We start from the raw sequence: 13205 nt of genomic DNA on the forward strand, positions 1-13205 counted from the left end.
GAGTGCAGTGGCATGGTCTTGGCCCATTGCAACCTCCACCTCCCAGGTTCATGTGATTCTCATGCCTCAGCCACTTGAGTAGCTGGGATTACAGGTGTGTGTCACCAAGCCAGGCTAATTTTTGTATTTTTAGTAGAGACAGGGTTTCACCACATTGGCCAGGCTCGTCTTGAAGTCCTGCTTAAGTTATCTGCCCAACTCGGCCTCCCAAAGTGCTGGGATTACATGCATGAACCACCACACCAAGCCCTCTTCAGTTTCTTGTGTTAATGCTTTCATTGTAGAGATCTGTTACTTTTTTTTTTTCTTTTGCGACAGCATCTCACTCTGTCATCCTGGCTGGAGTGCAGTGGCACAATCATTGTGCCCTGCAGCCTTGAACTCCAAGGCTGAAGTGATCCTCTCACCTAAGCTTCCCGAGTAGCTAGAACTACAGGTGCACACAACCATGCCCAGCTAATTTTTATTTATTTATTTATTTATTTATTTATTTATTTATTCATAGATGGAGTCTTGCTCTGTTGCCAGGGTGGAGAGCAGTGGTGTAATCTAGGCTCACTGCAACCTCTGACTCCCGAGTTCAAGTGATTCCCCTGCTTCAGCCTCCTGAGTAGCTGGCACTACAGTTGCGTGCCACCAAGCCTGGCTAATTTTTTTTGTATTTTAGTAGAGAAAGGGTTTCACCATGTTGGCCAGGATGGTCTCAATCTCCTGATTTTGTGATTTGCCTGCCTCAGTCGGCCTCCCAAAGTGTTGGGATTACAGGCGTGAGCCACCATGCCTGGCCGCCCAGGTAAGTTTTACATTTTTTGCAGGGACAGGTTCTCACCATGTTGTCCAGGCTGGTCTCAAACTCCTGGCCTCAAGCAATCCTCCTGCTTCCATCTCCCAAAATGCTGGGATTACAGATGTGAGCCACCAAGCCTGACCATCTTTCACATCTTTGGTTAATTCTTAGGTATTTTGTTTTCTTTGTAGCTATTGTAAGTGGGATTACTTTCTTGATTTCTTTTTCAGATTGTTTTCTGTCAGGACATAGAAATGATACTGATTTTTGTATGTTGATTTCATATCCTACAACTTTACTGAATTCGTTTATCAGCTCTAATAGTTTTTTGGTTGAGTCTCTCAATTTTTCCAAATATAAGATCATGTCATCTGCAAACAAGGACAATTTGACTCCTTCTTTTCCAATTTGTATGCTCTTTATTTCTTTCTCTTTTCCAGTTGCTCTAGTAAGGACTTCCAGTATAACAATGAGTAACAGTGATAAAAGTGGACATCCTTGTCATGTTCCAGATCTTACAGGAAAGGCTTTCAGCTTTTTCCTTTCTGTATGATACTATGTGTTTGTTCTATATTATATGGCTTTTATTATGTGGAGGTACGTTCCTTCTATACCCAGTTTTTTGAGGATTTTTGTCATGAAGGGGATGTTGAATTTTGACAAATGCTTTTCCAGCATCAGTTGAAATGATCATATGGTTTTTGTCCTTCATTCTGTTGATATGATGTATCACATTGATTGATTTGCATATGTTGAACTATCCTTGCATCCCTGAGATAAATCCCATTTGGTCATAATGATCTTTTTAATGTGTTGTTGAATTTGGTTTGCTAGTATTTTGTTGAGGATTTTTTCATCAGTATTTATCAGCAATATTTGCATGTAGTTCTTTTGATGTGTCTTTGTCTGCTTTTGGTATCATGGCAATATTGGCCTCATAGAATGAGTTTGGAAGTATTTCCTCCTTCTCTATTTTTTGGAATATTTTGAGTAGGATGGGTATTAGTTCTTCTTTAAATGTTTGGCAGAATCCCTCAGATGTTTTCCTGTTCCACATGACCTGCTGTTTGGGATTGAGGCGGGAAGCCAGTGGAATAAATGTATTTCTATCTGAAAAAAAAAAGTTTGTCAGAATTCATCAGTGAAGCCACTGGGTCTCGGGCTTTTCTTTGCTGGGAAGTTTTTATTACAGCTTCAGTCTCATTGCTTGTTATCACTCTGTTCAGGTCTTGGATTTCTTCATGGTTCAATCTTGGTAGTTGTGTATGTGTCCAGGAATTTATCCATTTCCTTCAGATTTTCCAATTTATTGGCATATAGTTGCTCATAGTAGCCACTAATTATCATTTGAATTTCTGCAGTATTAGTCGTAATGTCTCCTTTTTCATCTCTAATTTTATTTGAGTCTTCTCTCTTTTTTTCTTAGTCTGCCTAAAGGTGTGTCAATTATATCTTTTCAACAAAATCTTTTTGTTTCATTGATCTTTTGTATTGTTTTCTTTGTTTCAATTTCATTTATCTCTGTTTCTGCTGTGATCCTTATTATTTTTTCTACTAATTTTGGGTTTGGTTTTCTCTTGCTTTTCTAGTTCTTTAAGATGAATCATTAGGTTATTATTATATATATAATTGTAGTTTACATATCACAGCTCCAGTATTGGGTGCATTATATATGTGTGTGTGTGTGTGTGTGTGTGTGTGTGTGTGTGTGTGTGTTTTAGCCACTTATAGCTATAAACTTCCCTCTTAGTGCTGCTTTTGCTGTATTTCATAGTTTTGGTGTGTTGTTTTTCCATTATCATTCGTTTCTGGAAATTTTTCAATTTCCTTCTTGATTCCTTAATTGATCCACTGATTCAGGAGCATATTGTTTAATTTTTATGTGTTTATATAGTTTGCAAAATTCCTCATTATTGATTTCTAGTTTTATTCCATTGTGGTCAGAGAAGATGCTTGATATTATTTCAATTTTTAAAAAATGTTTTATGACTTATTTTGTGACCTAACATATGGTCTATGCTTGAGAATGATCCATGTGCTGAGAAAAAGAATGTATATTTTTCAGCTGTTGGATGAAACAGCCTGTAAATATCTATTTGGTCCATTTGTTCCATAGTGCAGGTTAAGTCTGATGTTTCTTTGTTGATTTTCTGTCTGGAAACATCTCTCTAATGCTGAAGGTAGGGTATTGAAGTCTCCAGCTATTATGATATTATAGTCTATCTCTTTAATTTTAATAATATATGCTTTATATATCTGGGTGCTCCAGCATTGGTTGCATATATATTTACAATGATTACATCCTCTTGCTGAATTGACCTCGTTATCATTATATAATGATCTTCTCTGTCTCTTTTATAGTTTTTGTCTTGAAATCTATTTTGTCTGATATAAGTATAGCTACTCCTGCTTTTTTTGGTCTCCATTGACATGGAATATCTTTTTCCATCCCTTTATTTTCAGTCTACATGGGTCTTTATATGAAGTGAGTTTCTTGTAGGGAACAGATCATTGGGTCTTTTTAAAAATCCATTTAGCCACTCTGTGTCTTTTGGCTGCAGTGTTTATTCCATTTATATTCAATATTATTATGGTAAGTAAAGACTTCTGCCATTTTGTAATTTGTTTTCTGGTTGTTTGTGGTCTTCTCTTCCTTCTTTCCTTCCTTTCTGTCTTCCTTTTAGTGAAGGTGATTTTCTCTGGTGACATGATTTAATTTCTTGCTTTTTTTGTATGTGTATTCATTGTATTTTTTAAATTAACCCAGATCTTAGGAGCTTAACATATGTTTTTTGATTTGCAGTTACCATGAAGCTTGCAAACACTATCTTATAACCCATTCTTTCCAGTGAATAACAACACTTATTGCATAAACAAACTAAAAATTAAAAATAAAACTAATAAAAACTCTACACTTTAACTTCATCCCCCTGCTTTTTAAATTTTTATTGTTTTGCCCAGTGCAGTGGCTTAGGCTTGTAATCCCACCAGTTTGGGAGACAGAAGTGGAAGGACTGCTTGAGCCCAGGAGTTTGAGGCCAGCCAGAGCAACATAGTGAGACCCCAGCTCTACAAAAAAACAGAAGAATATTAGCTGGGCATAGTGGTGTGTACCTGTACTCCCAGCTACTTGAGAGACTGAGGTGGGAGGATCGCTTGAGCCTGAGAGGTTGAGTCTGCAGTGAGCCATTGATCACACCACTGCCCTTCAGCCTGGGCAACAAAGTGAGACTGTCTCAAATATATATAATGAATTATAAAAATATATAATATATAAAAATATATATGTAATATAGAAAATATATTTTATGAGTTTTTGTTGTTTCTATTTATATTTTATTGTGCTGCCTATGTCTTGAAAAGTTGTTTTTGATTGATTCATCTTTTAGTCTGTCTACATAAGTGTAGTTTACACATCACAGTTACAGTATTATAAAATTCTGTGTCCTTACTATTACCAGTGAGTTTTGTACCTTCAGATGATTTTTTATTGCTCATTAACATCCTTTTCTTTCTGATTGAAGTACTCCCTCTAACATTTCTTATAGGGCAGGTCTGGTTTTGATGAAATCCCTCAGCTTTTTTTTGTCAGGGAAAGTCTTTATTTCTTTTTCATGTTTGAAGGATATTCTCACCAGACATACTAATCTAGGCTAAAGTATTTTTCCTTCAGCACTTTAAATATGTCATGCCACTGTCTCCTGGCCTGTATGTTTTACACTGAAAAGTCTGCTTCTAGAGGTGTTGGAGCTTCATTGTATGTTGTTTGTTTCTTTTCTTTTGCTGCTTTTAGGATCCTTTCTTTATTCTTGACCTTTGAAAGTTTGATTATTAAATGCCTTGAGATAGTCTTCTTTGGGTTAAATCTGCTTATTGTTCTATCGCCTCTTGTACTTGGATATTGTGATCTCTTTCTTTAGGTTTGGGAAATTCTGTTATTACATCTTCACATAAACTTTTTACCTCTATCTTTTTCTCCACCTCCTCCTTAAGACCAATACCTCATAGATTTGCCCTTTTGAGGCTGTTTTCTAGATCTTGTAGGCATGTTTCATTGTTTTTTATTCTTTTTTCTTGTCTCCTTTCACTATGTGTTTTCAAATAACTTGTCTTCATGCTTATTAATTCTTCTGCTTTATTCTTTCTGGTATCAAGAGACTGATGCATTCTTTAGTATGTCAAAATTTGCATTTTTCACCTCCAGAATTTCTGCTTGATTCTTTTAAGTTATTTTTATCTCTTTGTTAAATTTATCTGATAGAATTCTGAATTCCTTCTCTGAGTTATCTTGAATTTCATTGTGTTTCCTCAAATCAGCTATTTCGTATTCTCTCTGTGAAAGGTCACATATCTCTGTTTCTCCAGGATTGGTCCTTGGTGCCTTATTTAGTTCATTTGGATGGTTTCGATGCTTGTGGATATTCACTGGTCTCTGGGTATTGATGAGTTATGTATTTATTGTAGTCTTTGCAGTCTGGGTTTGTTTGTACCCGTTCTTCTTGGAAAGGCTTTCTAGGTATTCAAAAGGACTCGGGTGTTGTGATCTAAGCCATATCTGCATTAGGGGGCACCCCAAGCCCAGTTATGCTATGGTTCTTGCAGACTCATAAAGGTATTGCTTTGGTGGTCTTGGATAAGATCTTGAAGAATTACCTGGATTACCATGTAGATACTCTTGTTCTTTTCCCTTACTTTCTCCCAAATGGAGTCTCTCTGTGTGTGCTGAACCTCCTGGGGCTGGGGATGAGATGATACAAGCACCCCTGTGGCCACCACCACTGTCTGTGGGTTATACCTAAAGCCAGCACAGTCCTAGGTGTCATCCAAGGCTTGTTGTAGCCACTACTTGGCTATTGCTAATGTTTGCTCAAGGCATTAGGACTCTACAATCAGCAGATGGTGAATCTAGCCAGGTGTGTATCCTTCCCTTCAGAGTGGCAAGTCCCCTGAGGCCCTAGGCAGGTCCAGAGATGCTGTCCAGGAACCAGGGACTGCAGTTAAAAATGATAAAAGTGTACCTGTGTTCTACTGCAGCTGAGCTGGCCCTTAAACCATGAGACACAGTCCTTTCCACTTTTCCCTCCCATTTCCACAGGGAGAGGACCCTCACCTCATGGCCACCACCACCATGGGCACACAAGAGATACTGCCAGACTACCATCAATGGTTCTCAGTCAGCTTGTGGTGAATGCTGCCAGGCCTGGGAGTCTCTCTTCAGGGCAGTGGGCTCCCCTATGGCCCAGGGAAGGTCCAGAAATTTTGTCCAAGAGCCAAGTCCTGGAAGTGGGGATCCCAAGAGCCTGCTCAGTACTCCTTTCCACTGTGGCTGAGCTAGTACCTAACATGTAAGACAATGTCCCCATTACTTTTCCTTCTGCTTTCCTCAAGCAGGAGTCTCTTACTGTAACCACTGTGGCTGAGAATATGCTGAGTATCACCTGAAGCCAACATGTCTCAGCATCTCAACAAAGCCCCATGGTGTACTATCTGGGTATCACTGCTGGTTATTCAGGGCCCAAGGGCTCTTTAGTCAGCAAATGATGGATCCTGCCAGGACTGAGTCCTTCCCTTCAAGGCAGTGTGATCTCATATGTCCCAGGGTGTGTCTAGAAATGTAGGCCAGGAGTTAGGTGTTGGAATGGGGGCCTCCTGACTCTGACTGGTGCCCTATTCTACTGTGGCTGAGCTGGTATCCAAGATGCAAGACAGAAGTCCTCTTTACTCCTCCGTCTCCTCTCCTCAAGCAGAAGAAAAGTGTCTCTTTTGGAGCCACTAGCTGTGCTGCCTGGGGTTGGGGAGAGGTGGTGTAAGCACTCTTTTAGCTGCTCTGTTGGTATCTCAGTAGTTGCACTCCCCTGACATCTGCTGGCTTCAAACACAGCCTAGCACTAAGACTTGCCTTGGAGTTGCAGTCCTTGTGGCCTACCCTGTCTTTCAAGTTTACTTAGGGGTTCAGAGCACTTCAGCCCATGGTGGGAAGGCTTGCTGGAACTCTGCTTGTTTGGATGATTCCCTTCTGACTAGGGATGGTCTAAGTGCTACCTCCATGGGCAGGCATCAGCTGAGTTCAGTCAATTCCCGCTGTGACAGAGCAGCTCTGAGTTTAATGCAAAGTCTCACAGTTGTGCTCTCCCTCTCCCAAGCACACAGATTTTCTCTCTGTGCCATGCAGATGGTTCAGGGGTATAGGAGAGGGGTGGCAATGGCAATTCAAGACTATCTTTCATCTTTCTTCAGTGCCTCTTTCAGCGATATGAAGTTAAAACTAGGTATTATGAGTGCTCACCTGATTTTTGGTTCTTATGAAGATGCTTTTTTTGTGTAGATAGTTATTACATTTGGTGTTCCTGTGATGAGAGGATGATCAGTGGAGCCTTCTATTCGCCGTCTTGCTCTGCCCTCCTACCACATTTTTTAATTAAGATTTTATAGAAAAGCAGAACTGCTATCAATGATATAGAGTAAGGGATTTATTACAGGGATTAGACCTTAGGCAACAGCTGATGGATCAGCATTCAGGCTATTGCTTTTGTATCTAGTATTGGGCATGTTTTTCTTATGGCCATGATAGAGACAGAAATGGAAACAGAAAAGGCCTCTTTAAGCCTAAATTTGGAACTTCAGCACACCTTCATTTTGGGCTTATATTTTGCCTAAAGTCATATCCACAAGCTGAAGGTCAAGAAGATAGGTAAATATGCCCCTGTTCACAGTAGGAAGGTAATGCAAAATTGCATGACAAAAGGCATGGGTATAGGAGAGGTAAGTATTAATAATTAGGGCCAGTAACAATCTACTATGCAATCTAATTATGTATTCTTAAATTTCAGTAATAGTAGTAGTAGTAATAACTAACATCCATTGAGTGGTTACTCTGAGCCAGGCACTATTCTAAGTAATTTGTAAGTATCAGCCCATTTAATTCTCTTGAGAAACCTATCAGGTAAGTCTAATATTATTTCCATTTTACAGATGAGGAAACTGAGTCCTGGAGCAGATAAATAATAACCCAAAGTCAAGTAGATAGTAAGTGGTGAAGCCTGGATTTGAAGCACAGGGCCTGATGCAGAGCCTCTCTTGCTAACAGTTCCGGTCCCTAAAGCAAAAATTATAATAATCCTGCCCTTTTCTGAACTGGTCAATCCATTTTTGGAGTTTTTGTGTATGAGGACACCACAGGCCGAAAGCTATCCCAAGACCAGGTTGTGACAGGGTTGGAAACCCACTCCAATGGTAAATAAAACTAGGGCCCTTTAGCCAAATTCCAGGAAGCATGCTTTCCAGTATTTCAATGCTATTTTGTAAAAGAGGAATGAGAATTGTATTTTGTAGCCACCGGCAAATTACAGGTTTAAGCTGAAAAGCATTTATGAAATGCCCATCTCTGCAAGTATGCTGCTTGAGGATTCAGAGATAAGAAAAAATGAGTACACTGTCTATCTTGGAGGAATTTCCAGTTTAGAACAGGAGGGAAGCAAACTTGGGCTCCCCATAAGACTTTCTGAAGAATTTAACAGCTGGGCAGTGTACTGGGCTGCATTGTTGAGCAGTAGGTGTCCTTCCCTCGGAAGTATGTATGTGGGGGGTCCTGAAATCTCACCTCCTGGGACAGTACGGAGGAGACTTCCACAGTGAGTGCTGCCGGTTGTGGGGGGGCGGGGTTGGGGTTGGATTGGATCCCAAGCCAAGAACTGGTGATGAGAATATAAGCTCCAGGAGGATGAGATTTTTGTTGGTTGTATTCACTGCTATATTCCTAGGACCTAGGACAGTTCCTAGTACAGAATGAGTGCTCAATATTTAAATATATGAAAGAATGTGAATATTTTAAAACCGGGAGATTTCACATAAAAACCTGCATTTGCTTGCACTGAATATTGAACAAGTGGAAGATTTGGCAACAGTGGGCTTATCTATTTTTGTGTACGGAAGTGAAGAATACACCTTTGTTTAATATGCCACTAGCTCAGCTTCACTCAATTACATTGTCCGTCTGGTCCTGTTCTTTGCAGCCTCTGAGTTAATCACTGAAATCTCTGCCAACTCCAAGTGTCTACAAAACTGAATTTTATAGTTGAAATTTGGGAGCAGAGTTCCAAAATGGAGAGGTTTTCTGTCAATTAACAGTTTGCATTGTTTGAATATCAAGAAAATTGCCTACACAACATTTGCATTACATTTCATTACTTAATCAAATCATTCAAGATACATTTTTATTGCTATTACTTAATCAAATCACGCAAGATACATTTTTATTACTTTCATAATGTTAAACTAGACAAACCATTCTGACAGCAAAGGAAGAGAATATCTTTGTTTAAATGAGAATTTTAAAATATATAATAAGCATTATATACAGTATATTATATGCTACATATTTATATATGTAATAATATACAGTATAATATCTATAACATATGAGTCTTTCTGGAAACTGATCTATTTTAATAAGAGAAACAAACACAAAAGGATTATTCCACTATTTTTTAAATTATAAAACATACATTTCATTAGAATACAGTTTATAGTAATAACTTTTGAACTCCAGGATCACACAAACTGAGGCAAAATTTAGAACAAATGATCACCATAGCTAATGGTGGAATGTTTGGTTAATGCCTTTGAAACTAAAAATATCTTGAAAGCATCCTTTCTAGTCATCCACTTGTATGTAAGCCAAGAAAGAAACACACTTCTAGGCATCACTGGAGTGCCATGGAGGTGCATGGAATTAAGGAAATCATTTTGATCTTTTCTGGTCGAGTAAGGATCTTCCTTATTTTCATTAGTGTCATTACCCGCTGTTAAAAACATTTTATTATGTTGTCTAGAGGAACTACAAATGTGTTAGACAAGGTTTGCTGATTTCAGATATCAAGTTTGTCTCTTCTTACAGGTGCATCCGTGGACAAACTAATGTTACATTTTAAATTCCATTAATCAAATTCAAAATAATGGGAAGGTTTGCATTCTCGTCACTGTAGAATATCAGTCCATATCATCCTAGGGAAAGTTTGCCAATAAAATTGGTTAGACATCCAACTTTTACTACCGTGTAGTCTCATCAGTTCTTTCTTTCACGTGAGTCTATCTACGATTTTATCTTGCTGTTCTTTTCCAAGTTTTTTTCTTTTTTTTTTTTTATCATGAAGGTACTGCTTTCATAAGCTTGTGACCAGCTTTGTGATGAGTGTTGGTAATGGTGAAATGTCAAAAGGCAGGTGCTGTTCCTTTAACACAAGAAACAGACATTCTCCCCCAGGTACTAGCTTTCTAATATGTACAATAGATAGGCAGCTGGGTGCGGTGCCTCATGCCTGTAATCCTAGCACTTTGGGAGGCTGAGGCAGGTGGAACCCTTGAGGTCAGGAGTTTGAGACCAGCCTGGCCAACATGGTGAAACCTTGTCTCCACTAAAAATGCCAAAAATTTAGCCAGCCGTGGTGGTGCATGCCTGTAATCTCAGCTACTGAGGAGTCTGAGACAGGAGAATCACTTGAACCTGGGAGGCAGAGGTTGCAGTGAGTCAAGATTGTGCCACTGAAGTCCACCTGGGCGACAGACAAGCAAAACAAAACAAAACAAACGAACAAGAAACCCAAAAAAATAGCAGCAGAATAATCAAAGCCTCTTGGATGAACTTCCAGTTTTTTCCTTATTGATTTTCTTTCACTCTAAGATAGATCGTCATGATAAACTGCTTCAATGAATAACTTCTCTACGTAGGAAATGTAGAAAGCCCAAGCAATAAACCCAATTTGATTGAGAAGAACTATGAAGATGTCATCTGTAAAAACAATGCTCCTTTCAACAATAATAAATGTATTGGCCAGGTGCAGTGGCTCACCCCAGTGGCCCAGCACTTTGGGAGGCTGAGGCAGGTGGATCACGAGGTCAGGAGATGGAGACTATCCTGGCTAATACGGTGAAACCCCATCTCTACTAAAAATACAAAAACTTAGCCAGGCTTGGGGGCGGGTGACTATAGTCCCAGTTACTTAAGAGGCTGAGGTAGGAGAATGGCATGAACCCGGGAGGCAGTTGGCCGAGATCGCACCACTGCACTCCAGCCTGGGTGACAGAGCAAGACTCCGTCTCAAAAAAATAAAAAAAAAATAAAAATAAAAATAAAAATAAATAAAATAAATGTATCTTTCCCCAGTACCTTGGGATAGATTTTTTACATTGACTTGCTGTGCTAAGCAATGTGAAATGTTCTGATCCCTAGGAAATCATTTTCTGGGGAGTAGGAAATAAATGTGCCCAATTCTGAATTTTTGCCAATAGCTGAGATAACAAAGAGTCACCAACTGCTAGTTATCAGAGACAAGAGTTAAACTTGCATTTAAGATGATAGGATATTGGCTTTGCATTCTGATTTACAGAAATAAAACTTTATGGACTGAAAAAATAGCATACGTAATATAAAAAGAGGCTTACTCTTAATGTTCATGTAAAAATTAAAACTTCTGTATAATTTGATGTTTAAAATAAAATATTTCATGTAAACGATTAACTTTTAATGAAGTTTCTCTTTTAACTTCCATGATACATGTTCAAGATGTATTAAGTAAAACCCAAATGTGTACATACACAAACCTCTTATATATCTATCTATCTATGTATCTATCTATGTATCTATCTATCTATCTATCTATCATCTATCTATCTATCTATATATATATATATTTTTTTTTTGAGATAGAGTCTCGCTCTGTCACCCAGGCTGGAGTGCAGTGGCACAATCTCTGCTCGCTGCAACTTCCATCTCCCGGGTTCAAGCAATTCTCCTGCCTTAGCCTCCTGAGTACCTGCGACTACAGGCATGTGCCACCACACCGGGCTATTTTTGCATTTTTAGTAGAGGTGGGGTTTCATCATATTGGCCAGGCTGGTCTCAAACTCCTGACCTCAAGTGATCTACCTACCTTAGCCTCCCAAAGTGCTGGGATTACAGGTGTGAGCCACTGCACCTTGCCTATATATTGATATAAATGATGATACATATATAAAGCATTCTTCTGAGAAGTTGCAAAGATGCAAGAGTAGTTTTTCTGTAGGGCTCAGACAACCTGTCATACATAAAACAAAAGGTTCCCACATGGAAGGGTTTCTTTTTTTTTCCTTTCTTTCTTAATTTTTTTTTTTTTTTTTAGACAGAGTCTCACTCTGTTGCCCAGAGTGGAGTGCAGTGGCACTATCTTGGCTCACTGCAACCTCCACCTCTCCAATTCAAGAGATTCTCGTGCCTCAGTCTCCCCAGTAGCTGGGATTACAGGCATGCACCACCATGCCCGATTAATTTTTGTATTTTTAGTAGAGACAGCATTTTACCATGTTGGCCAGGCTGGTCTCAAACTCCTCCAGTGATCTGCCCGCCTTGGCCTCCCAAAGTGTTAGGATTACAGGTGTGAGCCACTGCACTTGGCCAGATTTTGTTATTGTTGTTTTCATGCAACAAATCTGACAGGAGAATAGGAGTCCAACCCCTGGAGTTGCATTGGCTGCCTCTGAACTCCCTAGAATTCTAAATTTATCATTCCATGTATTAATTATTCCAGTGATTCCTCCCATAAATAAGTTGTTCCTTGGGGAAAATGAGAGACAATTTGGGAAGTTGTGTTTCTTGTTTCAGGCCACTAGTAGTATATGAAAGAACCCCATTCTTGAGGGCTGCCCATAAGCATGTGCCCATTTGCTAAGCAGATAACCTAAAGACAAAGAGGCCAGGCATGGTGGCTCACACCTATAATTCTAGCACTTTGGGAGGCAGAGGTAGGTGGATTGCTTGAGCTCAGGAGTTCAACACCAGTCTGGGAAACATGGCAAAACCCCCCCTCTACAAAAACTACAAAAATAGTGGGCATGATGGCACACACCTGTAATCCCAGCTACTTGGGAGGGTGAGGTGGGAGGGTGGCTTGAACCTGGGAGGTCGAAGCTGCAGTGAGCTATGATCATGCCATTGCACTCCAGTCTGGGTGACAGAGCAAGACCCTGTCTCAAAACAAAAACAAAAACCAAAACAAAAACCAAAACAAAAACCAAAACAAAAACAAAAACAAAAACAAAAAAAGACAATGGTCACTTCCAAAACTCCACTGTTGAACCATACTGTTGAACCATAAGGTCACCTGGAGCACTGAAAGGATAGTTGATTCATATTTTGACCCTTTCCAACAAAACACTTTTCACTAAGTTAAAAATGTTGCCCCTACATTTTAGGAAGCCCTTCTCATACCTGTAAGTCAGTCTTGTCCTGTTTCTATCTCCATACACATTAATTTTCTTGGGGTCATGACTTCCTAACTTCTTCAACATTAATTCCAATTCTCTATCAGATAACTTAAAACACTGAAAAAAAAAGCAGAGTAAAAGAAAGAATAGAGGCTAATCTGAGAAGACTTAATTCTCTTAT

Source organism: Homo sapiens, chromosome 4 (genome assembly GCF_000001405.40).
Source record: "Homo sapiens chromosome 4, GRCh38.p14 Primary Assembly".
NCBI classification, from domain to species: Eukaryota; Metazoa; Chordata; class Mammalia; order Primates; family Hominidae; genus Homo; species Homo sapiens.